The sequence below is a fragment of the Homo sapiens genome, chromosome 10 (assembly GCF_000001405.40).
Source record: "Homo sapiens chromosome 10, GRCh38.p14 Primary Assembly".
NCBI lineage: Eukaryota > Metazoa > Chordata > Mammalia > Primates > Hominidae > Homo > Homo sapiens.
The window spans coordinates 93,828,648-93,856,197 of record NC_000010.11 but is presented as its reverse complement, the minus strand read 5'-3'; the positions used below and the strand labels follow the sequence as shown (position 1 = coordinate 93,856,197).

Here is a 27,550-nt window from a genome sequence, read left to right as displayed (position 1 = left end):
ACCAAGGGTAAAGGCATAAACAAAAGAGCAGCAGGTGCGGACAGTTCTAGGCAAGATTCGGCAGCATACCGGCCACATCCTTGCCCTGTGATAACAAGACAGAAGTTTCCACTTCAGCCTCTGATTGGTCACTGGCCAAGCCTTCCTAGGGTGTAACCAATTGGAGGCCTCTAAAGGGCACCTAGGGTTGTTACCAAATTCTTTCAGCTTAATAAAAACCCTAATTGGGGTGGAGGGGCACTCTTGAGTTGCTTGCTCTAATCTGCTCCTACTCTGGAGTGTCAGTAAATCTGTGCTTTTGTTATTGTTCTCTTGTTGCTTTGTCTTTCGTTGCTTCATTCCTTTGTTGCTTTGTTTATGCATTTTGTTCAATTCTTTGTTCAACATATCAAGAACCTGGACGACTCAGTCAAGACCTTCCATCCGGTAACAGCTGTACTTAGTACCTAAGAACTCAGCATTATGACTATAATGACAATTCCAAAACAACGGCAAAAGTCCCATTCAGTATCTTGTGACCCAAGGTCCTATATATAAATGTCAAATATGGAAATAAATATGTCTTCTTCTGTATCATATAACCTCAGGAATAATGGCTGACAATTGTTTATGTCTGCACCTTAGCAGGACTCAGGTTCCGCTCCATCCCCCAGCCTGAGAAAAGCAAAGGCTATTTATTCAGAGCTGCTATAGCAAGAGAAACAGCCACCATCATTGAGTTTTAGCAGAAACTCAAAGGTGGGCAGAGAAGTGTGAAAGCTTTATAGTGGGGAAAAAAGGAAAGCTTTAGGTATGGCCTCAGGGAGGCTATTGGCCTGGGAAAGCTGTAGGAGGCTACCTAGAAGCGGGGAATCCTGTGTGTTTGATTGGGAATGCATATTTGGCTTTCCCTAGTTGGTCCTAAGTTGGAAGTGGAGAAAAAAACTTACAGAATCTGTTAGTTATTAATCAAGTCCTGGCCATTTGGGGCCGATTGTGACACAAGTTATTATTTAGCTTCCTGGCTTGTCACTAGAGATAACAAGTGAGTTCCTGAAAGTCTGATTTATAACAGGCTACCTTCCTGTGCTGGTTATTGTCAAAAGGGGTTGGTTTTCTGGATAGGTTGTGAGTCAAAATACTATCTTTATATATAGTTTGGCAATTGTCCATTTGTACATCCAGTATTTCAATAGTAAGCAGTAAACTTGACTCTGCTTTATCAAATACGATAGTACCTCACATTTTATCATGGTTTACAATTTATAAAGTACATTTTTGTGTATCTCCATGATTAGTAAGGCCAAACACTGTCATTTTCCTTGTAAAGTGAAGAAATAGCCTCAGAAAGGTCAATGGCTTTAAAAAGTCACAAAGCTGCTAAAGAGCCTGATTTAATTAGGACTGTCCAATTCTTTATGCCTGGCACCCCATTCAGTAAACACTCCCTTTTACTCTTGTTAAAACTTTAGACAAATTAAATTTAACAGTTTGGCCAGGTACAGTGGCTCACACCTGTAATCCCAGCACTTTGGGAGGCCAAGACAGGTGGATCACTTCAGCCCAGGCGTTCGAGACCAGCCTGGGCAACATGACAAAACCCAATCTCTACAAAAAATACTAAAAATTAGCTGGGTGTGGTGGCGTGCACCTGTAGTCCCAGCTACTCGGGAGGCTGAGGTGAAAGAATCACCTGAGCCTGGGGATTCGAGGCTGCAGTGGGCCATGATCATGCCACTGGACTACAGCCTGGGTGACAGAGGGGGACTCTTTCTCAAAAAAAAAAAAAAAAAAAAAAAAAAAGGAACAGAGTTTAATTAAGGAAAGAATGATTTGTGAATCGGGCAGTTCCCCAAACCAGAATAGGTCCAGAGAGGCTCCTGTGCTGCCACATGGACAGAAAGGATTTATAGATAAAAAAAGGAAAGTGAGATATAGAAAATGGAAGTGAGGTACAGAAACAGCTGGATTGGTAACAGCTTTGTAATCATCCAAGGGATTTTTCCTGCCCACTGCATAAAGAAAGACCACGGCATTGTAGTAGAGAAAGAGTTTAATAGGCAGGAGGCCAGCCACGACACATGGGAGATAGAGTTCCTACTCAAATCATCTTGTTTAGAGCTCCTAAGTTAGGGGTTTTTCAAAGGCAGTTTGGGGGAAGGGGTAACAGGTAACAGATGCTTGCTGCTGATTGGCTGGGGCGGAGATGAAATCATTCATTGGAGGTGGAAGCTATCCTGTGGTGGGCTGAATCGCTTCTGGGTGGGGCCACAGGAGCTGGGTTGGTGGTCCAGGTGGAGCCATGAGTGTCAAACACACAAAAACCTATGAAGATATCTGAAAAGGCCAGTCTACAATAGTGTTGTTATTTGCAGGAGTAATTGGGGAAGTTGCGTATGGTATAACCTCAGGAATAATGGCTGACGATTGCTTATGTCTGCACCTTAGCAGGACTCAAGTTCCGCTCCTTCCCCCAGCCTAAGGGCTTCCCATTAGCTTTACAAAATCGGTTAAGTTTTGGGCAAGGCCTATTATTAAACTATAGCCTTAATATCTTTAAAGTTAGCTTGGCCCAATAGCCCAGGAATAATAAGAAAAAGGCAAGATGGGGATTGGGTTAGTTTAGCTTACTAGTTTTGTTTGTTTGTTTTTGTTTTTCTCACTGATATAACTTTTGCAAAGGTAGTTTCAGCTTGGCATTTGCCTTATTTGAACAAGGTCTGAACAGTGGGCTGCCTTTGATTGGTTGAAACTTGGTGAGTTCACCGAAAATCACTGACATGAGGCAGATTGACTGATAGGAGAAAAGGTATACAAGTGTATTTAATACATATACATGGGAGTCTTCAGGATGAAAACACAAAGATACAGGAGAAACTGTCCACTTTTATGCTTAGCTTCAACAAGGTATGGATGGATAACCATGTAAAAATATTATTGGACAAAAAGGGTATGATTTACTGCTAATAGGATAACCAACCAACGGGTTCACCTTGCCCACTGCCTAGACAGAGCCGATTTACCAAGACAGGGGAATTGCAATAGAGAAAGAGTAATTTACGCAGAGTCAGCTGTGCAGGAGACCAGAGTTTTATTAGTACTCAAATCAATCTCCCTGAAAACTCGGGGATCAGAGTTTTTAAGGCTAATTTGGTGGGCAGGAGGCCAGTGAGTCAGGAGTGCTGATTGGTTGGCTCAGGGTTGAAATCACAGGGAGTCTAATCTGTTCTCTTGTGCTAAGTCAGTTCCTGGGTGAGGGCCACAGAACTGGTTGGCAGGCCCAGGTGGGGCCATCTGGTTTCAGAAATGCAAAAACTTGAAAAGACATCTCAACAGGCCAATCTTAGTTTCACAATAGTGATGTTATCTTCAAGAGTATTTGGGGAAGTTGCAAATCTTATGACCTCTGGAATAATGGCTGGTAATATTTAGAATCCCAGCCCCTCTCATCATTACTTTATGGCTGGTGGCATATCATTCATTTTACAAGAACAGTTTAGCTTTTGGAAAGAGGTATTATTTAAACCATAAACTAAATTCCTTCCCAAGGCCAATTTGGCCTATGCCCAGGAATGGACAAAGACAGTTGAGATATTAGAAGCAAGATGGAGCTGGTTAGGTCGGATATCTTTCACCGTCATAATTTCTTTAGTTATAATTTTGCAAAGGCGGTTTCAATAGACTTAGTGGGAAAAACCAATAAGGCCTGCCTGTCTAGATTCTTCTTGGCTTCTCTGAGCACACACCCCTTTCTTCTGAATGTGGGGCAGGACTCTTCTCTGGAATGGGGATCAGATAATTTCTTTATGGCCAGTTTTTTTGTTTGTTTGTTTTTTATTTTGAGACGGAGTCTCACTTTGTCACCCAGGCTGCAGTGCACTGGGGCATCTTGGCTCACTGCAACCTCCTCCTCCCAGGTTCAAGCGACTCTCCTGCCTCAGCCTCCTGAGTAGCTGGGACTACAGGCGCATGCCACCATGCCAGGCTAATTTCTGTATTTTTAGTAGAGATGGGGTTTCACCATATTGGCCAGGCTGGTCTCAAAGTCCTGACCTCAAGTGATCCGCCCACCCTGGCATCCCAGAATTCTGGGATTACAGGTATGAGCCATCACACCAGGCCTATGGACAGTTTTAAATAGAGTATTTTTAGGTTTTATGACTGGCCTTCAAGGGAAAAGGGTTTCTGGTTTCTATGACCCACCTTGGGGAAGAAGAAGTTTAGTTGCTATGGCTAGCCTTGTGGGAGAATGGGACTGACAGAAAGGAGGGCAGGCAGGAGAAAGTCATAGAAAAATTTTGGGGCTGGGTGCTGGTGGCTCATGTCAGTAATCCCAGCATTTTGGGAGGCAGAGGCAGGAGGGTTGCTTGAGGCCAGAAGTTTGAGACCAGCCTGGGCAACATGGCAAAACCTCATCTCTACAAAAAAATTAAAAATTAGCTAGGTGTGGTGGCATGCATCTATAGTACCAGCTACTTAGGAGGCTGAGCTGGGAAGTTCGCTTAAGACCAGGAGGTTGAGAGGGCAGTAAGCCATGATCACATCACTGCACTCCAGCATGGGTGACAGAGCAAGATCCTGTCTCAAAAACAAAAGAAAACAAAAACTTTTGTTTCTGAGGCTGTTGCTGAGGATTTCATTTTTGTGCATTGTTTTCTGAGCCCCAATAGTAGGTTACAGTCTATTTACACATCCAGTTAGGTTACAGTTCACTATGTACTGAGAAAACTTTAGGCTGAACTTAAAATATGTAAGGGAGCAGCTTTAGGCTAAACATAACACTCTCATTAGCACCTGGGTTTTGAAACAGAAAGTTTCCGTGGACCCTCTGTGGGTGGGAACTGGAGTGCATGAGAGCTAGAATTAGCTGGCTGCTTCGGTGCTGGCAGGGGTGAACTCCACTCACTTGGTCCCACTGTGTTCCAACCCTCACAGGAGGGGGAGCACAGGTGAGCAGGTGCAGGAGCCAGAACAAGTGCTTTCGGGTGCTGGAAGGAGCAAAACTCTGTGCTGCCCCATGGCATCATCTTGGGGGGTGCCTGGAACCTCTCAACCACCAGAAAGAGTGTTACAAGAGTGCTAAAACAATGCTTTTTTAGCTTTGCCACCCACAGACGGCTTAAGTGTTTACAGCTAAGTGGAGTGTCAGCATGACAGCTTTTTCACCCACACCTGAGTTCTTGTCTGGCGTCTAGGAGGAATGAAGTCCTGTGAACAAATTGGAGATGGTAAATGTGGGGGCTTTTATTGCCAATGAAAGTGGCTCTCAGCAGGAAGGGGAGCTGAAAAGGGGATGAAGCAGGAAGATAATCTTCCCCCAGAGTCGAGCCATCCTGACCAGACTCTTCTCTGAAGTTACATCATCAAGCTGTTCCTCTGAAGTCAAGCTGCTTCTCTCTGACGTCCAATTGTAGTGTCCGACGTCCTGCTGCTTCTCTTCTCCTCCCTCTTCTGGCAGAGGCTGGGGTATTCATGGGCACAGGATTGGGGGGTGGGGTGGGCCATGGATGGTTTTGGAAAAGGCAACATTTGAGCGGGAAAACAGGAATGCATGTTCTTGCTTTGGGTTGCAGTTCCAGGCCTGAGGTTGGGCCCCTCACTGGGGACTGCCCTCTTCTGCCCAGAATTTCCCTGCCTCCTGTCTCTATCATTTTGAACAATAAATTAACTGATCACCCTATCCTACCCAGCAGAAACTTGAACCTATGACTTCTGCATTCCAAGACCACTGCTCTGTTTGCCAGATTTTATTAATCCCAGGCTCCCTGTCACTGTCTCTCCTAGTATCTCCAGGCCTTTGCCAAGTCACACCACTGAGTAGACTCAAATCCAGCGATCTGTTTAAACAACAGTTTTCTTTCAAATCTGCCCGGTTTCCAACTGGCTAATGAAGCTCAATCACAAAAAGTTTCTATTAAGAGGTAATTAGCAAGATGAAAATAAGCCTTGAAGTTTAATTGTTCAATGTGCCTTAACGAATCCTCAGGAGCAGCTTGAATGTTTGTAATAAACGCAGGACAAAGATGATGTTCATTTTGTGTCAATGTTTAATACCTTACCCAAGGCAATTTTTATTAAACTGCAACCTCTGAACTTTTAATGCTCTCCGAATTTTTTAAAACATCAAAAATTGTGTAAATGAATGAGTTACAAACCTATTCAGCATTATTTTCCTTCAAGAGTGTGTCTGAGCAGAGTGTCAGTTTATTTTCTGCAGTTAATTAATTCTGCCTTTCTTAAGCAGAATGTCTGATTGCCTTAAGCGATAGAGAGGCTTTTTGCTAGAACAGAAAGCTGTCTGCGTAGTTTATGTTAATACAAACCTGCAGGCGGTAAATGACTGCTCTTTGGAAAGAAAGCAAATGGCTACTTTGAAACTATTGAGATGCATTAGGGCTCTTGATTTGAGAAACAGGAAATACTAGAGCAAAAAAACAAATTGATTTAAGCCATTCATAGACTAACAAGCACTCCTAGTCCCTTTGTGAATTTTGGGTTCTTGGGCCCAGCCCTCAGGCAAGTACTTGCTTCCTTCCACCCACCCCAGTGCGGATTCTCCTTTCTGCTTTGATCCCTGAATTAATAAACCACTCTGGGAAGGAGGGTCCTTTAAGTCAGCATGGAACCACCACCCCCAACCTCGGCCATCAAAAATCCATAAATCATTCAAAGCAGGAATTCTTCATAGCAGGAAATGAGCCTCTTGAAATTCACTTTAATTTCCCATAATCTTTGGAATTACAGGAGATAATCTGGTTCATTCTCCCAATTTCTGGTTAGGAAAATGTTAAAGGTGGTATGCCTTTTATTGATATCTGAGGCTCTGGATGAGATGAGTAGAAGTTGGAACTAGAATCCCACTCTCCTAGGGCAGCACTCACTCCACTGCACCCTCTGCCACTAACTAGAGACTGCAGAGACAGGGATTACCATCTTGCCGACAGTGCTGTCTTCTGAAGGTTCCCTTGTATGTCACTTATTTGGAACCTGGGACACGCTTTGTCCTAGAAACACGTTTGTTTAAAAGGTGGCTGGGTTCTCCATCCAACTTAAAACCAGTTTTAACCCACATCACTGCTGCGGTCCTCAAAGCAGCCTAAGCCCTCGAAGGGGTTCAGAGTCTGCCACCCCAAAATATGCCTCTCTGCACAAGGATTCTTTTGAACTGAAGACAACTGAGAAAAACAGACACAGGGTAAACTCTCTGTCCTTCCCTGTATGCCTGAGAGTGTTACCAAAAAATGAGGGGTTCAGTCCTGGTCCTGCTGCTCACTGCACAGAATGCCAATCACTGTGACAATGAGTCAATTGCCGGAGAAGAAGACTTTAATCAGGTGCTGCAGGCTAGGATGACAGGAGGTACAGTCTCAAATCCCTCTTCCAATGGACTAAAATTGGGGGACTTAAATACTGAGGAACGCAAAGAAAACAGGAATTAGGGAGGGATAAGGAAGCAATTGTGATGGATGAGGGTCCTGGGGTCTCATTGTCTGAATGTGGTGATTTGATGAGTTTCAGTTCCTTGCCTGAGGGTTGGTTTCTTTTATTTTTATTTTTATAATTATTATTGTTTTGAGGCAGGGTCTCACCCTGTTGCCTGGACGGGAATGCAATGGCATGAAATAATGGCTCACTGCAGCCTTGACCTCCCGGGCTCAAACAATCCTCCAACCTTAGTCCCCTGAGTAGTTAGGATTACATCTACATGTGCCTGCCACTGTGCTGGGCTAACTTTTTGTATTATTTTTTTTTTTTTGGTAGAGATGGGGTTTCACCATGTTACCCAGGCTGGTCTCAAACTTCTGGTCTCAAACCATCTGTCCACTTTGGCCTCCCAAAATGCCAAGATTATAGGTGCATGCCAATGTGCCCAGCCAAAGGGTTGGTTTCTTGAGGAAGAAGCTCAGATGAGACAAATGTAAGCTTCAAATTTTAAGACTGAGGCTGGGCGTAGTGGCTCATGCCTGTAATACCAGCACTTTGGGAGGCCGAAGAGGGCAGATCACCTGAGGTCAGGAGTTCGAGATCAGCCTGGCCAACATGGTGAAACCCCGTCTCTACTAAAAATACAAAAATTAGCTAAGTGTGGTGGTGCGCACATGTAATCCCAGCTACTTGGGAGGCCGAGGCATGAGAATCGTTTGAACCCGGGAGGCGGAGGTTGCAGTGAGGTGAGGTCATGTCACTGCACTCCAGCCTGGGCAACAGAGCGAAACTTCATCTCAAAAAAAAAAAAAAAAGACTGAGAGGGTCAACTTCTATGTTTATTCAAAACCTCATAAATATAACTTCCATGGGACAATTAGGCCGGTTTCAAAAGAAGAAGATAAATTTCCCTTCTGAAGTTGTCCCCGCCTCCACTTCCCATACCAGGAGTGGGATAACAACCTTATCCCAGAAACAAGATGGCACTGAGGAAGAGTCTAACCAAACAAACCTTACTAACTACCCTTATCTTCCATTAGACTCTTCATAAATTCACCTCCCACAACTTGATGCCCCTACTAGCCTAAGCCCATGTTGCTTTTTCTTTTTGAGACAGGGTCTTGCTCTGTCACCCAGGCTGGAGTGCAGTGGTGTGATCATGATTCATTGCAGCCTAGATCTTCCAGGCTCAAGCAATCTTCCTACCTCAGCCTCCCAAGTAGCTGGGACTACAGGCATGCACCACCAAGCCTGGCTAATTTACATATGTATGTATGTATGTATTATAGAGATAGGGTCTCACTACGTTGTTCAGGTTCGTCTTGAACTCCTAGGCTCAAGCAATTCTCCTGCCTTGAACCCCCAAAGTGCTGTAATTACAGGCGTGAGCCACTGTGCATGGCCCTAAAACCCCTTTTTGTTTGTTTTGTCACATCTCTACAAATGTTTTGTTCTTTTGTTAAGATGCTATATAAACCCCAAGTTCTTTTTTTAAAAACATTTTATTTTACTTTATTCTAAGTTCCGGGATACATGTGCAGGATGTGCAGATTTGTTACATAGGTAAACGTGTGCCATGGTGGTTTGCTGCACCTACCAACCCATCACCTAGGTATTAAGTCCCACATGCATTAGCTATTTATCCTGATGCTCTCCCCAGAAATCCCGACAGGCCCCAGTGTGCATTGTTCGCTTCCTTGTGTCCATGTGTTCTCATTGTTCGCCTCACCTCCCACTTATAAGTGAGAAAACTAAGTGTTTGGTTTTCTGTTCCTATGTTAGTTTGCTAAGAATAATGACTAGCCCCAAGCTCTAACCACCTCTTTGAATTACTCATTTTTGAGTTTGTCTCACAAGTATGCATGATGTACACATTAATTAAACTTTATTTTTCTCATTAGTCTTTCCTTTGTTAGTCTAATTTGCAGCAGCACCTGCCCCTCTCAACTAGAAAACCTAGAAGGGTAGGGGAAAAATATTTTTTTTCCTTTCCTACACACCTCTAAAACTCTAGTGCTGGGCGTTGACACTGGTTCCTAAGCCTTTCGTAAATTTTCTTTATAGAGACAGTGTCTCACTCTGGTGCCCAGCCTGGAGAGCAGTGGCCTGAGCCTAGCTCACTGCAGTCTCAAACTTCTGGGTTAAAGCAATCCTCCCACCTCAGCCTCCCAGAAGCTTGGATGGACTACAAGTGTCTACCAACATGCCCAACTATTTTTTAAATATTTTTTTTTAGAGATGGGGTCTCACTATATTGCCCAGGCTGGTCTTGTCCTCCTGGCCTCAAGCCTACGCCTTTCTGAAAGCTACGCTCTGAGGTCTGGGAGAACCCCAAATAAGCCAGGGTATAGAGAAAGAGAACTACAGTTGTGTCCGGAATTGGTGGGTTCTTGGTCTCACTGACTTCAAGGATGAAGCTGTGGGCCCTCGCGGTGACTGCTACAGTTCTTAAAGGTGGCATGTCCAGAGTTTATTCCTTCTGATGTTCAGATGTGTTCAGAGTTTCTTCCTTCTAGTGGATTCGTGGTCTCGCTGGCGAAGGAGTGAAGCTGCAGACCTTCCCGGTGAGTGTTACAGTTCTTAAGGCAATGCGTCTGGAGTTCTTTCCTCCCAGTGTGTTCATGGTCTCACTGGCTTCAAAAGTGAGGCAGACTTCCGTGTTGAGTGTTACAGCTCATAAAGCAGTGTGGACCCAAAGAGTGAGCAGCAGCAACACTTACCACAAAGAGCAAAAGAATAAAGCTTCCACACCATTGAAGGAGACCCCAGTGGGTTGCCACTGCTGGCTCGGCAGCCTGCTTTTATTCCCTTATCTGGCTCCACCCACATCCTGCTGATTGGTCCATTTTACAGAGAGCCAATTGGTCTGTTTTACAGAGAGCTGATTGGTCCATTTTGACAGGGTGCTGATTGGTGCGTTTACAATCCCTGAGCTAGGCCCAAAAGTTCCCAGTCCCCACTAGATTAGCTAGATACAGAGTGTGGATACAAAGGTTCTCCAAGTCCCTGCCAGAGTAGCTAGATACAGAGTGTCGATTGGTGTATTCACAAACCCTGAGCTAGACACAGGGTGCTGATTGGTGTGTTTACAAACCTTGAGCTAGATACAGAGTGCCGATTGGTGTATTTATAATCCCTTAGCTAGACATAAAGGTTCTCCAAGTCCCCACCAGACTCAGGAGCCCAGCTGGCTTCACTCAGTAGCTCCCACACTGGGGCTGCAGGTGGAGCTGCCTGCCAATCCCGCGCCCTGTGCCTGCAGTTCTCAGCCCTTGGGTGGTCGATGGGACTGGGCGCCTTGGAGCAGGGGCGGTGCTCGTCGGGGAGGCTCAGGCCGCTCAGGAGCCTACGGCGGCGGGTAGGGGGGAGGCTCAGGCAAGGCGGGCTGCAGGTCCCGAGCCCTGCCCCAGAGGGAGGCAGCTAAGGCTCAGCGAGAAGTCGAGCACAGCAGCTGCTGGCCCAGGTGCTAAGCCCCTCACTGCCCGGGGCAGGCAGGGCCTGCCGGCCGCTCCGAGTGTGGAGCCGCCGAGCCCACGCCCACCTGGAACTAGAGCTGGCCTGCAAGCACCCTGTGCACACAGCCCTGGTTCCCGCCCGCGCCTCTCCCTCCACACCTCCCTGCAAGCTGAGGGAGCCGGCTCTGGCCTTGGCCAACCCAGGAAGGGGCTCCCACAGCGCAGCGGCAGGCTGAAGGGCTCTTCAAGTGCCACCAAAGTGGGAGCCCAGGCAGAGGAGAGAGTGCCGAGAGTGAGTGAGGGCTGCAAGGGCTGCCAGCACGGTGTCACCTCTCAGAGTGATGGAGTAGGTGGCACTGGAGTATCCCTTGGAGGTCTAGGGGGTACTGGCAGAGAAGGGGTTGGATTTGAGAGCTTCTGAAACTGGGGGTGGGGATTGTGGAGAAGGACGTTTTTCAATTACAGGAGAGGCAAAATGCTCCTTCTATCCTTCCAGGTTATTTGGCTTGTCTGTGAATTAAATTGACATAAGAGATTTAACAGGAGAAAACCAATTCTAATTATGTATGTATGCATGAAGTCCCACAAAAATATGAGACTCAAAGGAGCAGCCAGATGATTGAGATTTATGTATCACCCTTGAAGCTGTCCTCACAAGGGTAACAAGCGTTCTGGACAGAAACATTGTTATAATTAAGCGTTAATCAGGCTGTACTCTGGCCCACTTCCTGGTAACTGAAAGTTGCACAGCACTAGATAATGACCATTTGCATCCCCACTGTTGCTATAGGTGGGATTTCTGATGTTAGAATCATAAGGCTTTTAAGAATTAATTTGTATCCCCATTATTCTTACAGATAGAATTTCTGATGTTGGAGTCATAAGGCCTTTGTGTTTAAGAATTGCTTAAGAGGTTTTTTCAGATCCTGAATTCCAGTGGAAGAGCTGATGCCAACCGTTTGAAGATCCCCACAGAAGAACCGAATCAGCGTGAGAATACAATTTCCTTATCTTCCTGTCCCACAATTTCCCCCATGCACACTTTCACCCATCAATGATCTTCACAGTTAAAATCCCTAGCCCCAAACTCCTCAGGGAGATGGATTTGAGGTTTCCTACTGTCTCCTCATTCAGCAGCCCTGTGATTGAACCTGTTTCTCTATTGCAACCTGGTTTTGATGTGTTGACTTGCTGCACATCAGACAGTGAACCTATCACAGTTACACCCCGAGATACAGAAAGGAATAAGGGTTTGGGGTTCCTGCAGGGTGGTGGAGGCAAATTACAGGAAGGGGAGGGGAGGAAATGTATGGTGAATGGTGGTTGCCTTGCTATGCAGATAAAAGTCTCTCAGGTGATAAAAGTCATCTCTGAGTAGCTGTCTTCTTCCTACAGATACCTTTACTAATGAAGATATCCTTTATAAATGTAAATTTCCTTTACAAAAGAGGACATTTGTGCATTATTTTAGTTGGGGAGAAGTAAAGAGCTTTTCCCACGTTGACTGGTTCACAATTTCTTTTAGCTCAAAAGAATCAATATGCCAAAGTGGCATATTTTGAGGTGATATGTTTTGAACCTCTTCACAGGGCTAGAGAAGGATCCAGCGGGGGAGAAACAAAGGTTATTTTACAAACTCTTTTTTCATAAATTAAGTGTTCTGATAAGTTATGATGGGGCTCAGGGCATGCCACCTCAATACAGGACTGCGAAAGACCAGAATTTACAACTCCCAAATATGCCTTTTTGATATAAGATTATTTTGAGCTGGTTATCTTGAGAAACTGCAGACACAGGTGAAGTTCTGAAAAGTTACCCTTTTGTGAGAGAAATTTATGTCTATAAAGGAAATCTCCATTTGCAAGGGTGTTTCCCTCTCATACCAGGAAGACTAAATCTCTAAACATACTTTTTACTTTTATTTTTATGTTTTTTTTTTTTTTTTTTTTTTTTTTTTTTTACTTTTTGTAGAGATAGGGTCTTACTATGTCACCCTGGCTGGTCTTGAATTCCTGGGCTTAAATGATCCTCCTGCCTGGGCCTCCCAAAGTGCTGGGATTATAGGCTTGAGCCACCACTCAGCCAAGACACTCTTAATCAATGGAGAAGACATCAACCAAAATCTGCATAATAAACCTTGCTGTGTTTACGGCCATACTCTTCATTGTTTGTTTCAGAGAATGATAGTATTTAAGGCTGAAATTTAAACTCTTTCTTTGGGGTCTACTCTAGAGATTTACTTATTTCTCTGGGTTATCACTCATGTATACAGAAGGTGTACATATTATTAAATTTCTGCTTGTTTTTCTCTTGTTAATCTGTCTTTTGTTATAGAGAGTCTTGGCTAAAAACTCATGAAGGGTGAAGGAAAAATTATTTTTTCCCCCTTACAGTTCTAAAATGCCTATATGAAATTAGAGTAAATTTGGGAAGTGGTTCTCTTTTTATTGCAAAAGAAGTACCAGGGAACAGCTCTAAAATACTCCCTTGGAGGGCCAATGACTGGATTAGTTTATCATTTGAAGGCAGTCTCATCAGAAGATAGCTATGGGTCTCCAGGGTGCCTGATGCCAGATCCTGGTCTTCCCCTAGACAGACTTGCCCCCAGGAGGTGCCTGGATGCGTAAATTGAAAGCACTGAGCATCTGCCCTCTTGTGAGCCCAGGAGTGGGGCACTCTTGGCTGAACTGGGTACTGAGGAAGGGGATCTCTCTGCCCCCAGGATTTCCTACAGCCTTGGTTGAGATCTAGAATTTACTGACATCATCACAGTGGGGGCCCAGCATGGCCACTTGGACTTTATAAGACTGGCTTTCAACACAGATGCACTTACCAGTAAGAAGCCACTGGCTGGTGGACTCAGTAGACTCAAGTACTGTTTTAAAATGTAGATTTTATTATTATTCAGGTTTGATGAGGCCAACAGATCAGGAGATGACTGCCATTGAAAAGATAGTTTGTTACAGTTCCCAAGAGGTGGGGACGATCCATACCACAGTGTATGTGTGGTGGGAGGGGCACACTGGGAAGCAGCAGCGTTGGTCAGGAGGCAGAGGGAGGGAGGGGAAAACTCGAGCAAGAGCCTTTATTCCTGCTGCAGGAAGAAGCAGGTGAGGCAGGGTAAGCAGGCTTAGGATGGACAGTTTGAATAACTTCAGCTGGCTCTGATACATAGGGGGCTATCTCTCATTGTTTGGGAGTTGGCCCTGGGGTGATTAGAGCAGAAGGCCCCAAGTGTGAAAGGAGGTGGGTATGTGGACTCTGGGTTGGTTGGTTTGCATATGAAAGGCACTCTCCAGGGGAGTCTGTACTGCCTCCAGGAATTAGTGATCCCTAAACCCCAGCCCTAAGCCCTAAGTCAGGGAGGGGCAGCCTCTTCAGGATCAGCAACACCCCAGATGTCAAAGCTTCAGAATACAGAAAATAAGACTAAGAGAAGTGGCTCACACCTGTAATCCCAGTGCTTTGAGAGGTGGGAGAATCACTTGAGGCCAGGAGTTTGGGAACAGCCTGAGCAACATATCGAAACTCTTATGATGTCTCCACTGCACTCCAGCCTGGGCAACAGAGCAAGATCCTGTCGCTGAAAAAAACAAAAACCAAAACACACACACACACACACACACACACACACACACACACACACACACACAGAGAGTGCACAAGAGACAGAGAGAGCAAATAAAAAGGCATGATTAATACAGGTACTCTCTGCTTCGGGAGGAGGAGTGTGGAAGCTGAACTGATTTCTTCTTTGGCTGAAGTAAGCTGCCCCCGACCCCTACTCACCACTCTCCCCATGGATCTTGGATAATTCAGGGAAGGAGATACTTGCCTCCTACTAGTGAGGTAGATGGGGCCTACAAGCAAATAATTTTAAAATGCCAAAGAGGTGACCATGTTTGATCTCTGAGTTTGTGCAGCATTCCGTGCCAGTTACAATAGTGAGACCTCAGTTGATTAGTTGTAGAAAGAATTTTAAAGCACTTCAAAACTTCTTTGCAACTCTCATTATCCTAATAAAGTGGAAGCAAAAAGGAAATAAATGAATATTTAAATCAATTTAAAATGTATTGACCTCAACAGAACATTTTTGCAAGAAACTTGCAAATATATTTGCAAGAAACTAATTCCTCAGGGATTGAACACTTTCAGAGAATTAGTTTGGTGGGAGTCAAACAGCACAATAAGCATATATGATCAAATACAAGGAGACTTTAAATATATATATATTTAAAGATGTATCTATGTATATATTCTTACTTTGTGTATGTGAAACTATGAGCTTGTTTTTTGACCTAATTCTCATTTTCCTCAAAAGAATTTCTGTCCAATGTCTCCTGAGATGCTGTCCTCTGGTGTCCAGTTTATTGTTGAATAATGTTGCATTATTGAATAACTACCAAGTATTAGCACGGAGGTTATAATAATAAAGCACAAGCCTTATTCCCAAGTTGCTCCTGGATTAGGGATGAATGATTCTTAATGTTTTCTGGGTTGCAGATCCCTGATCATCCCTGTGGGGGGTCCACAGATTGCAGATTAAGAACCCTGTTCTAACAGGAAAGGCAGACAAATAATTATACTACACGGTGCTCTATCCAACAGTAGAAGTGTCTGCAACAGTTGTTCTTTACTTTGGCTGCTCATGAAAACATCTAGGGAGTTTTTTGTTGTTTTTTCTTTTGACAGAGTCTCGCTCTTTCGCCCAGGCTGGAGTGCAGTGGCGCTATCTCGGCTCACTGTAAACTCCGCCTCCGGGGTTCATGCCATTCTCCTGCCTGAGCCTCCCAAGTAGCTGGGACTACAGGCGCCCGCCACCACGCCCGGCTAATTTTTTTTCTTTGTATTTTTTAGTAGAGACGGGGTTTCACCGTGTTAGCCAGGATGGTCTCAAGCTCCTGACCTTGTGATCTGCCCGCCTCGGCCTCCCAAAGTGCTGGGATTACAGGCATGAGCCACCGCGCCCAGCCCATCTAGGGAGTTTTTAAGCACCAGTCATTTGTTCCCTCATCTAGAGGTCCTGATTTAGTTGGTCCGGGTAGCAGCCTGGGTATCAGGAGTATTATTAAAAAGTTCCCTGGAAGATTCCAATTGTAATAAGTGGAAAGGTTCTGCAGAAGCCCAGTGTGATGGTTAGTTTTGGGTTCATCTTGACTGGATTAAGGATGACCTAGAGAACTGGTAAAGGATTATTTCTGGGTGCATCTGGGAGGGTATTTCCGGAGGAGATTGGCATGTGAGTCAGTGGACTGAGTGGGGAAGATTCACCCCCAATGTGGACAGACATCATCCAGTCCACTGGGGGCCCAGATAGAACAAAAAGATATTCTCTCCCTTCTGGAGCTGGGATACAGTCTTTTTCTCCTGCCCTTGGACTCCAGAATTGGCACTAGCTGCTTTTCACGTTCTCAGGCCTTCAGTCTGGGACTCAGTTCGCTTCCTTGTTTCTGAGCCTTTGGACTTGAACTGAGCCATGCTCCAGCAACCCAGGGTCTACAGCTTGCAGATGGCCTGTTGAGGGACTTTTCAGCCTCCATAATCACATGAGCCAATTCCTCTAATAAATCCCCTCTCATCTATGTCTATGTATACCCTCTTGACTCTGCCTCTCTGGAGAACCCTGACTAATGTACACAGCAAGGGCATGATTAGCTCTAGCATTCCCCCAAACCAAAATAGCCCTCACCCTACCCTGAGAAAAAATGAGAAGCAACTCAAAGTAGAAAAAAACCACCAAGAACCAAATATGACAGGAGAAGCAAGGCCAGATCTTGCAGAACAAATGTGTGTGGAGAGGGAGCATTGAAGCACTGTTTTCAGACAGCATTCAAGATGTTAGGGTGTGTTTGAGAGTTGGTGGTGGCTAAGTAGGGCTAGACATGACCAAATCCTGCAAAGCTATTAGAACAATGTTGTCAAGATTGGAAAATGTGTAGTTATAGAACATCCAGCAGACATTAATTAGCACAAGAGACCATAAAGGCCAGGACCTGGTAAAACTGGGCTGGAGGGAATTAACAACAGGAATAATAATTGCACCAAAATATTCATTGAGAGCTTACCATACTATACTATACACGCATTTTTTCATTTCATCCTCACAACTGGTCTTATAAAATAGTTTTGATTATCCTTTTTTTATACACGGGGATATTGGGGCTTAAAAGTATGAAAGACAAAGCGCATTGGACAATTAAGGAGATAGTTTTACCCAGGCAATTGCAATACAGAGAGTGTTTATTTATTTATTTATCTATTTTTTTTTTTGAGATAGGGTTTCGCTCTGTCACCTAGGCTGGAGTGCGGTGGCATAATCTCAGTTCACTGTAACCTCCACCTCCTGGGCTTAATCAGTCCTCCCACCTTAGCCTCCCGAGTAGCTGGGACTACAGGCACATGCCACCATGCCCAGCTAATTTTTCGTATTTTTGCTAGAGACAGGGTTTCACCATGTTGCCCAGGCTGGTCTCGAACTCCTGAACTCAGGTGATCTGCCTGTCTTGGCCTCCCAAAGTGCTGGGATTAGAGGCGTGAGCCACCACACCTGGCCGGAGAATGTTTATTAATGAGGACCATCTCAAAGAAAGTGAAGGAGGCCTGGGTTTTATAGAAGCAGGTAAGTGAGGGAATGAGTCTTATAGAAGTCCTGAGGAAGGATGGAGGCAGGTCTTGTCATGAAATATGCTAGGGCAGGGTGGTCCTTTTCAAGATTAGCTATTTCCTGATTTTGGAGTATAAAATGGTGGAGGGATTTCTTCACACTTGCTCTTTTCTCAGGGCTCAAGTAAAATTCAATATTATCAAAAGGTTGAGTAACTTGTCCAAGGTCAAGCAGCCAGTAAGTGGCCCAGCTGGATTCAGACCCAGCCTGCCTGGTGCAATCTGTTCTGGATTTGTGGCCAGAACATCAGTTTCTGTAAAAGGAGGAATTGGATGCTATTCAGGCAGGAAAAGCTAGGCAAAGGGAAGACTCCAGAGAGCAAGATCCAGACTTAGTTATCCTGTGAGCCTGGGTGGAATCACAGGAGTTGGGTTCTAATTAAATAGTTCTTGGATCACTGTTTGAGAAATGCAACAAACCAGGGTCCAGGACAAGGGCCCTAGGCTGAGAGAGTCCCCAGGCCCCCTATAGACAAGAACAACTAGGAACTCGTATCAGCCCCAGGTGGAAGCTGACTCTGCTCTCCTCCAACCTTAGACACCCCTTGGTGCTTAGACAGACAGGTGGGCAGATATGCAGGGAGCCAGAGAGGCCTGCTCCACTTCTGAGCTCCCAGGGTGATCCAAGTGGCTAGCTGGCAGAGCAGCTAGAATGCTTCATGTTAATTAGCCATTATCCTCTTGGACTCATTAAGCAAGTTCAAGGAGCTTTATTGCTTTGTTGACTGAAGGTTAAAATGAAAATGAGCTTTTTACACTTGTGTAGTTTAATAATTAAAAGAGAGAGAGATAGTTCTGTGCTTTCTAATGCACAGGGCCTCAGATAAATTTTCCTGAGGGTTGTAAATGCCAATGTCTTCTCATTTAATAACTATTGAGCACCCACAATGTGCTAGCCGTTGATAGAGAATGCTCAGTGACTAAAACAGATAAATATCCCTCCCCTTCTGAAACTTACAATCCAGCGACACAAAGAGATAATAAACACAATAAATGCATAAATTATGGGGAATTATAGGATATGATATGTGCTTTAAAAATTAGAGCAAGGTAAGGGGGCTTACAAGTGCTGGGGTTGGGTGCCGCAATTTAAACAGGGTGGTCAGTTGAGAAGTTGATAAGCGAGCAATGGTTTGAAGGTGAGAGAATGAGCCTTTCCGATACCTGGGAAAGGGCATTTTGGATGGAGGAGCTAGTGCAAAAAGCCCTGAGGTGGAAAGATGCCTGGTGTTCTCAGGAAACAGCAAAAAGGTCTGGCTGGTCCAAAGTACAAAAGGGGGAGCATAATAGAAGATGTCAGAGAAGTGACAGGGCCAGATGGAGTAGGATCGTAGAGGCCTTTAGAAGGACTTTTGCTTTTATTTTGACTAAAATGGGGACTAGAACGTTTGTTATCATATTCCTAAAATTATTGTTCTTATTTGCCTACTCTTGGAGGAAGAGGCTTGGTCCTGCCAGAGTCACAGGGGATTCAGGACACCAACCAGGCATAAGAATGCCCATGTCCAGATGTCACTCCATGGCAGCAGTCAGAAAAGATGGGGACAGGGCAAAGACATCAGCGTCATGGTGAAATTGAGGGAACAAACAGAAGAAGCCAGAATTATAGGACTTGATTTAACTCTCTCGACTTCTGAGACGCCTTCACTTGACTGATCTCCCAATGAGAGCTGGGGACTCTTTTCATTGACTCAGAACTTGTCTCATTACAGCACTGATACATTCTATTATACTTGTCTGTCTGTCTGTCTGTCAATCTTCCCTCATAATCTCAGTTCCTTGAAGTTAGGGTCCCTGTGTCATTTATTGTCCTTTTTTCCCCACATGTCAAACTCAATTCTGGCATATAGTGTCTACTCAGTGAATGATAAATAGTGAATAATAACATTTATTGAGTGTTCCCTGTGTGCTGGGCATTGTCTTTGCATCTTATATGCATTAACCCATTCAATTCTCCCTGAAACTCTCAGAAATAAAGACTATTACTATCCCACTTCAGCAATGAGTAAATTAAGTTTCAGAGAGGTTAAGTAATGTGTCCAAGGTTGCTTTATAAGTGAAGAAGCTGCTATTTCAACCTAGGCAGTTGGAGTTCAGAGTCTGTGCTATTAACCATTACAAGATAGATGGATGGATGGATGGATGGATGGATGGATGGATGGATGGATGGGACAGGTCAAAATTATGATACAGAGTTTGAATCAGTGTTCCAGAAGGGAGCAAGGATGGGAGAAATATTAAAATTTATATTTATTCATTAATAACTTGATAGTAGTATTGAACAAAACCCCAGGGGGCCAAAAGTACCTGTGTGCTGTTGAAAGAAAAAAGAAGAAGGAATGCGGAATGGATTAAAAAAGGCAATAATCTACCTGGGCTGTTACCAGATGCACTAACATCCCTAGCTTTGGCCCCCTTGGCTCACTAGCAAGGTCATCCCCAGGTTCTGGAACTGCCAAGTTTGATGGCCAACCCTGCTGGAGTGGGGGCAGGAGTGGGAGATTGTAGCATGAAGGGTTCTCAAATGAAGTGAGTGTTTTTGGTTTTGTTTTTAACTTTTATTTTTTGAACTGTAATTCACCTACAATGATATACACCATTTTTAAGTGTTGCAGTTCAATGAGCTTTTACAGAGAAGGTGAAATTTTGGGTACAGTCCTGGAGGAGTGAGCAAGAAGTTAAAGGTCAGGAGTGCACAGCACATGCAGGTGCACAGAACACTCAAAGAGCACGAGGTCTCTTGTGGCTGTGGTTCATCCTGAGAATAACACGCTGTTTGGGTATGGCAAGTAGATAAGGACGGATAAAAATCCAAAGGAAAGATAAGTCTGGCACATGTCGGAGAGAGGACACTAGTTTATAGTGCAGAGTTTTCACATTGTCGTTTGTTATGAGTTGCTATTTTTCTGTCTAAAACCTTCAATAAGAAGGCCTCTGCCTTTTGTTTTCTCTTCGGAATTCATTGATTCTTTCAATTTTATTTTCTTTATTTATGCCCTGTGGTGCTATTCCATATTCAAACAGCTGCAGGTGATGTTGCTTTCCTTCCCCCAATCCAAGCTACTGCATTAACCCCCACATATCCAGCCAAGTTCTGACGGGGAAGCCATTTATTCTTGAGGATGTAGATATGAGCATCTGCTCCATTTGGGATCATTGTTTATGGGCTGTGAATAAGAACACAATTCAAAGGTTATGAGAAAGGGCAGGGCATCTACAATATAAACACATCAGCCCCCAAATGGAGAAGACATGCCAGATACAATGAGAGCTGAGAAATTAACTGGCCATGGTTCAGTTATTCAATACATAGGTAACTAGTGCTTTCTGTCTGCTTGGCATGCCTTCTCTTTCTACCCAACTTTACTCAAGTGACATCTTGTGTCCCTGAGACCTTTTTTGGGCATGCTATCTGAAAGTTCCCTCCCCAAATAAACATTTCCTATGAACACTTCTGATATGGTTTGGATCTGTGTCCCCACACAAATCTCACGTTCAGTTGTAATCCCCAAGTTGGAGGTGGGGCCTCATAGGAGATGATTGGATCATGGGTGCAGTCTCTAATGGTTTAGCACCATCCCCCTAGTGCTGTTCTCATGATAGAGTTCTCATAAGATCTGGCTGTTTAAGAGTGCATAGCACCTTCCCGCTCTTTCTCCCCCTCCTGCTCTGGTCATGTAAGAAGAAGGCCTGCCTCCCCTTTGCCTTCTGCCATGATTAAAAATTTCCTAACACGGGCCTCCTGTAATCCCAGCACTTTGAGAGGCCAACGCAGGCAGATCACGAAGTCAGGATATTGAGACCATCCTGGCTAACACGGTGAAACCCCATCTCTACTAAAATACAAAAACTTAGCCGGGAGTGGTGGCAGGCACCTGTAGTCCCAGCTACTTGGGAGGCTGAGGCAGGAGAATGGTGTGAACCTGGGAGGTGGGGAGGTTGCAGTGAGCCGAGATCATGCCACTGCACTCCAGCCTGGGCCACAGAGCAAGACTCCATCTCAAAAGAAAAAAAAAAAAAAAGAAAATTTCCTAACACCTCCCCAGAAGACATCATGCTTCCTGTGCAGCCTGCAGAACTGTCAGCCAATTAAACCTCTTTTCTTTGTAAATTATGCAGTCTCAATTATTTCTTTATAACAGTGTGACAATGGACTATTACAGAAAATTGGTACTGAGAAGTGGGGCATTGCTATAAAGATATCTGAAAATGTGGAAGCAGCTTTGGAATTGGGTAACGTTACAAGCAGAAACTGGAAGAGTGTGGAGGGCTCAGAAAAAGACAGGAAGATGAGGAAAAGTTTGTTGTGACCAAAATGCTTATAGTGATATAAACAATAAAGTCCAGGCTAAGGAGGCCTTAGATGGAAATGAGGAACTTATTGGGAACTGAAGCAAAGGTAATTTTTGTTATGCATCATCAAAGAACCTTGAGGCAGTGTGCCCCTGCTCTAGGGATCTGTAGAACTTTGAACTTGAGAGTGATGATTTAGGGTATCTGGTGGAATAAATTTCCAAGCAGCAGGTCATTCAAGATGTGGCCCGGTTGCTTCTCACAGTGCATGTTCATACATGGTGAGCAAAGAAATGACCTGAAATTTGAACTTATATGTAAAAGGGAAGCAGAGTATAAAAGTTTAGAAAATTTGCAGCCTGGCCATGTGGTAGAAAAGAAAGGGCCATTTTCAGGGGAGGAATTAAAGCCAGCTATAGAGATTTGCATAAGTAAAGAGGATCCAAATGCAGATAGCCAAGACAATGGGAAAAAGCCCTCCAAGGCATTTCAGAGACTTTCGAGGCAGCCCCTGCCATTACAGGCCTGGAGGTCTAGGGGGGAAAAATGGCTTTATGGGCTGGCCCCAGGACCCCTTGCTACTCTGTGCAGCCTTAGGACACTGCTGCTTGCATCCCAGCTGCTCCAGCTCCAGCTGTAGCTAAAAGGGCTCTAGTTACAGCTTGGGCTGTTGCTTCAGAGGTTGCAAGCTGTAAGCCTTGGTGACTTCTACATGGTGTTAAGGCTACAGGTGTGCAGAGGGCAAGAGTTGAGGCTTGGGAGCCTCCACCTAGATTTCAGAAGATGCATGGAAAAGCCTGGAAGTCCAGGCAGAAGGCTGTTGCAGGGGTGGAGCCCTCATGGAGAACCTCTACTAGGGCAATGCAGAGGGGAAATGGATTGGAGCCTTCACACAGAATCCCAGTTGGGTCACTGCTTAGTGGAGCTGTGAGAAGAGGGCCACCTTCCTCCAGACCCCAGAATGGTACATCCACCAGCAGCTTGCTCCCTGCAACTGGAAAAGCTGCAGGAATTCAATGCAAGCCCTTGAGAGCAGCTATGGGGCAGAGCCTTGCAGAGCCACGGGGACAAGCTGCTCAAGGCCTTGGTAACCCATCCTTCATACCTGGATGTGATACATGGAGTCAAAAGAGATTATTTTGGAGCTTTAGGATTTAATGCCTGCAATTCTGGATTTTGGACTTGCATGGGGCCTGTAGCCCCTTTTCTTTGGCAGATTTCTCCCTTCTGGAATGGGAGTATTTACTCAATGCCTATACCCCCCATTGTATCTTGGGAGTTATTAACTTATTTTTGATTTTATAGGCTCATAGGTGGAAGGGACTAGTCTTGTCTCAGATGGGACTTTGGACTTTTGAGTTAATGCTGGAATGAGTTAAGACTTTGGGGGACTATTGGGAAGGCATGATTGTATTTTGTAATATGAGAAGGCCATGAGATTTGGAGGAGTTAGAGGTAAAATAATATGGTTTGGATCTGTGTCCTCACCCAAATCTCATGTTCAATTGTAATCCCCAATGTTAGAGGTGGGGCCTGATGGGAGGTGATTAAATCATGGGGGTGGTTTTTAATAGTTAAGCACCATCTTCCTAGTGCTGTTCTCATGATAGAGTTCTCATAAGATCTGGTTGTTTAAAAGTGTGTAGTACCTCCCCCATCTCTCTCTTCTTCCTGCTCTGGCCATGTAAGAGGTGCCTGCCTCACCTTCACCTTCTGCCATGATTGTAAGTTTCCTGAGACCTCCCCAGAAGCTGAGCAGAAGACGTAATGCTTCCCGTACAGCCTGTAGAACCATGAACCAATTAAACCTCTTTTCTTTGTAAATTACCCAGTCTCAGATGTCTCTTCATAGCTGTGCAAAGATAGATTAATATATCTTCTCTGCTTATTTTTTTCCTTAACACTTGTCACAATCTAGCAGAGCATATATTTTACTTATTTATCTTATTCATTGTCTGTCTTCACCACCAAAATGCAAGCTCCAAGGAGACAGAGGTCTTTTTTCACTGCTGTTTCTGTCATATCTAAATCATAGCAGGTACTTTAAAAATATTTTTTGAATGAATGGATTGTGCTAGGTTCTGTTAGGAACAAAGAGGCTTTGAAGTCAAGAAACATCATTCAGTGATGACATAAGGCCTTCAATTCAAATAACATTAAAAAGAAATGAATGAATCAAGACACAAGTTTCCACATCAATAACAGAAACACAAAGAGCCTACCTCAACCTAATTAACCAACTTATAGATTTAACAACCTTGAAATTCCTTAACATTTCTTTCAAAGGAGCAGATTATTTAGCAGCTTCCTTTTTAAAACCAGGGAACATAATTATAGATACATAGACTTCAGAAGGGTAAAGGATTTACAAGTCATATTTGCATGTTTTTAGGAAAATTCTGGTTTTTGCAGGTCTGAAGAAATGAGCCATTGAGACATTCAAAACAATTAAACCAAGGATGCAGATAACTACATTTAATATTATGATCTTACTTACTGGGAAGTTGTGTGCAGACAATTTCACTGACTTACGGGAGCTTTCAAAATTCTATTTTCCAGTTATTTTATCTTTGACTGAACTCTGAGTTTTTAGTGATTAATTAAATTTGTTTTTTTTGCCACCTAAATTTTAACAAAATATTCCATCAGACAAGTAGATTGTGGCAAGTGTTATTTAGGTTTTTTAAAATAAGTTTTTACTCATTAGAAAGGCTCACAAGTTTTTTTCTGAGATAACATTTAAGAGAAAGTCACACATTTGAGTTTTTCATGCTAAAACGTTTCAAAATGTAAAGTTTAGGCTGGGCACAGTAGCACATACCAGTAATCTCAGCACTTTGAGAGGGTAAGGCGGGAGGATCGCTTGAGCCCAGGAGTTCAAGACAAGCCTGGGCGACATATTCAGACCCTGTCTCTACAAATAGTATAAAAATTAGCCAGGCATGGTGGTATGTGCCTGTAGTCCCAGCTACTTGGGAGGCTGAGGTGAGCGGAGCAGTTGAGCCCAGGAGGTTGAGGCTACAGTGAACCAAGGTTGCACCACTGCACTCCAGCCTGGAGAGGAGAGAGAGAGAGAGAGAGAGAGAGACAGAGACAGAGAGAGAGAGAGACAGAGAGAGAGAGAGAGAGAGAGAGAGAGAGAGAGACCCTGTCTCTAAATAAAGCAAAATAAAATAAAATGTAAAGTTTATGAAGAATTAATACCTTTCACCCCTTGCATTTACATTGGATATTGACTGACTTGCTGTTTTTTCTCAGTGTCAAATCAGAAAACCCTCTGCTGCAGTTTGAGGAAAAGTCTTCAAATGTTCAACTTTTGTGTTTTTCTGCACTGAACTTGCATAGATGAGTGGCTTTTAAAATGTAGTTCAGGACTTACAAAGTGGTCCACATGGATTCTGGGGAATGGTGCAAATCGGGGGCCCCTGCAGCATTAATGTTTCTGGTATGGATTAACAAACATTAAAGGCATTTAATGTAAACATTTAAGTTCATTAATTCATTCATTCAAAAACTGTTGTATTGAGTACTTACTAAATGCCAAGCACAATGCTAGGTGAGGGATTATAGCTGTGAACAAAACAGACATGGACTAGCTCTCATGGAGTTTACTTTCTAGTGTGGAGAAAGATACCAAACAGGCAAATAAATGAGAGATAATTTTAAATATATGACTTGCATTCTAAACAAAATAAAACAAATAAAACGGTGTGATGTGATAAGAGTAATAGAGTGGGGTGGGAGAGATTTGGTGCTTAAGGACAGCCTCTCTGAGAAGGTGACATGTGCTAAGACCTGAATGACAAGAAGAAAATTAGTCCCAAAAGATGGACTGAGATGAACTGTCGATCTCAGCTTTTCATGCCTGAAAAATTGTAATCAATTATCAAACTTATTTTTAATTCTTCCCTACATGTACCTGCTGCCCCAGCCAGGCGTATGTCAAGAGTGACAACCTTCACCTCACCCCTCCATGGAGGTGACACATTCTTCAAAAGCCAAATGTCTTGATGCCTTCTTAGTCATAAATATTACTGTTTCTTAAATAATAGTAAAGGGCAGGGGAGACAATTTTTTTGGCATTTCTTGGCATCTGGGGAAAACCATCCACCTATTCCATGCACCTTTAGCCTGGGGAAAAGGGAATAGAGTGTTATGTGAGGAAGACTTCAGCAAAGGTCTAAAACATGAAGGTGAGTTTTTGGACTCCAATGTTCAGCTGACTGGGGCACCAATCTGTGAACTGACAATAGTTATTTAGTGTTCTGTATTCATGCACTGAGATCTGATTAAACCCTTTGGAAGATTCCTTCTCTTATTTCCAGTGGAACATCTTGCAGCAGGAACCTGAGGCTCCATGTTGAAGCTAGGTTCCTGCATCTGCCACCTGGATCTTAAGCCACCTTGTCACTGAGTTTCAAGACCCTTCTAACAGTAAGTGCCTCCTATGACATGTGATATGGTTTGGCTGTGTCCCCACCCAAATCTCACCTTGAATTGTAATAATCCCCATATATCAAGGCAGGTGGAGATAATTGAATCATGGGGGTGGTTTCCCCCATACTGTTCTCGTGGTAATGAATAAGTCTCACGAGATCTGATGGTTTTATAAAGGGGAGTTCACCTGCACATGCTCTCTTGCCTGCTGCCATGTAAGATGTGACTTTGCTCCTTATTCACCTTCTGCCATGATTGTGAGGCCTCCCCAGCCATGTGGAACCATGAGTTAATTGAATCTCTTTCCTTTATAAATTACCCAGTCTTGGTATGTCTTTATTAGTAGCATAAAAAACAGATTAATACAACATGCTTATCCTGCCTCTAAGCCTGTAGACTCAGTTATTCTAGAATGCTCAAGCCTTTCCAATGGGCCTGTGCAAACGTTGCCTGTCATTTAAAGCTATCTCCTCCCTAAAGTCTTTCCCAGTGACTCTGACTTCTCACAGCCCCTGTTGTGGTCAGCATAATATTCTCCTTGGCTATGACTTCGTAGACCTGCATTCTTTTAAACTCTGCTCCCAGAGACTATGATGATCAGCCTGGTCCAGGAACTTACTTTCCATCTGAAGGAGATTCAAGGGGAAAGAGAAAGAGAGTGGCCAAACAGATAGAGACAGGACTGATTCTCTGCTTTCTACAGTTCTTGGTTGACTTCAGAGACAGGCCTTCCTAATTTGGATCAAACTGGTCTTTCTAGTTCAAGGCCACAGGTCATAGTATGGAAGCTTCTTAAACTTTAGGAGCAGAAGAATCACTTAGGAGGCTTACTACAAATGCAAATTTCCAGGGGTCAGCCCCAGAGGTTCTCCTTCAGTAAATCTGGTGAGTCCTGAGAATCTGCATTTATACAAGCACCCCCAGGTAATTGAGATATTGCTTATCTGTGAACATTTTGTAAAATACTTGCATAATGAAGTGCAAGGAACCATTGCCCACCTCTGCCTCTTCTGTGTAACAGGGTTCTCTATTGTAAGACAGGATCCTAAAATTCTAGTTCATCCAACAAACATTTATTTAATCCAATGTCATACTAGGCATACAGATTAGGCCATAAAAATATTTGGGACATACCTATACTAAAAAGGTATTAGTTGCTTATCTCAAATTCAAATTTAACCAGGCATTTTGTATTTTACTTGGCATTGCCAGGTGGCATGGGGCTGGGAGGAATTGCTGCAATTTGGGTCCTCTGGCAGGCAGACTGAGATGGAGTTCACTGCTCAGGATGTTTATTA

At 43.9% G+C, this 27,550-nt stretch overlaps 1 annotated feature.

Annotated features, from left to right (window-relative positions):
• Positions 6,286–6,930: an enhancer, noted in NCBI's record as "OCT4-NANOG hESC enhancer chr10:95609025-95609669 (GRCh37/hg19 assembly coordinates)". NCBI's record gives its function as "activates a minimal SCP1, AML or CMV promoter by ChIP-STARR-seq in primed H9 embryonic stem cells {active_cell/tissue: H9 hESC(primed)}" and the evidence as "EXISTENCE:reporter gene assay evidence [ECO:0000049][PMID:30033119]".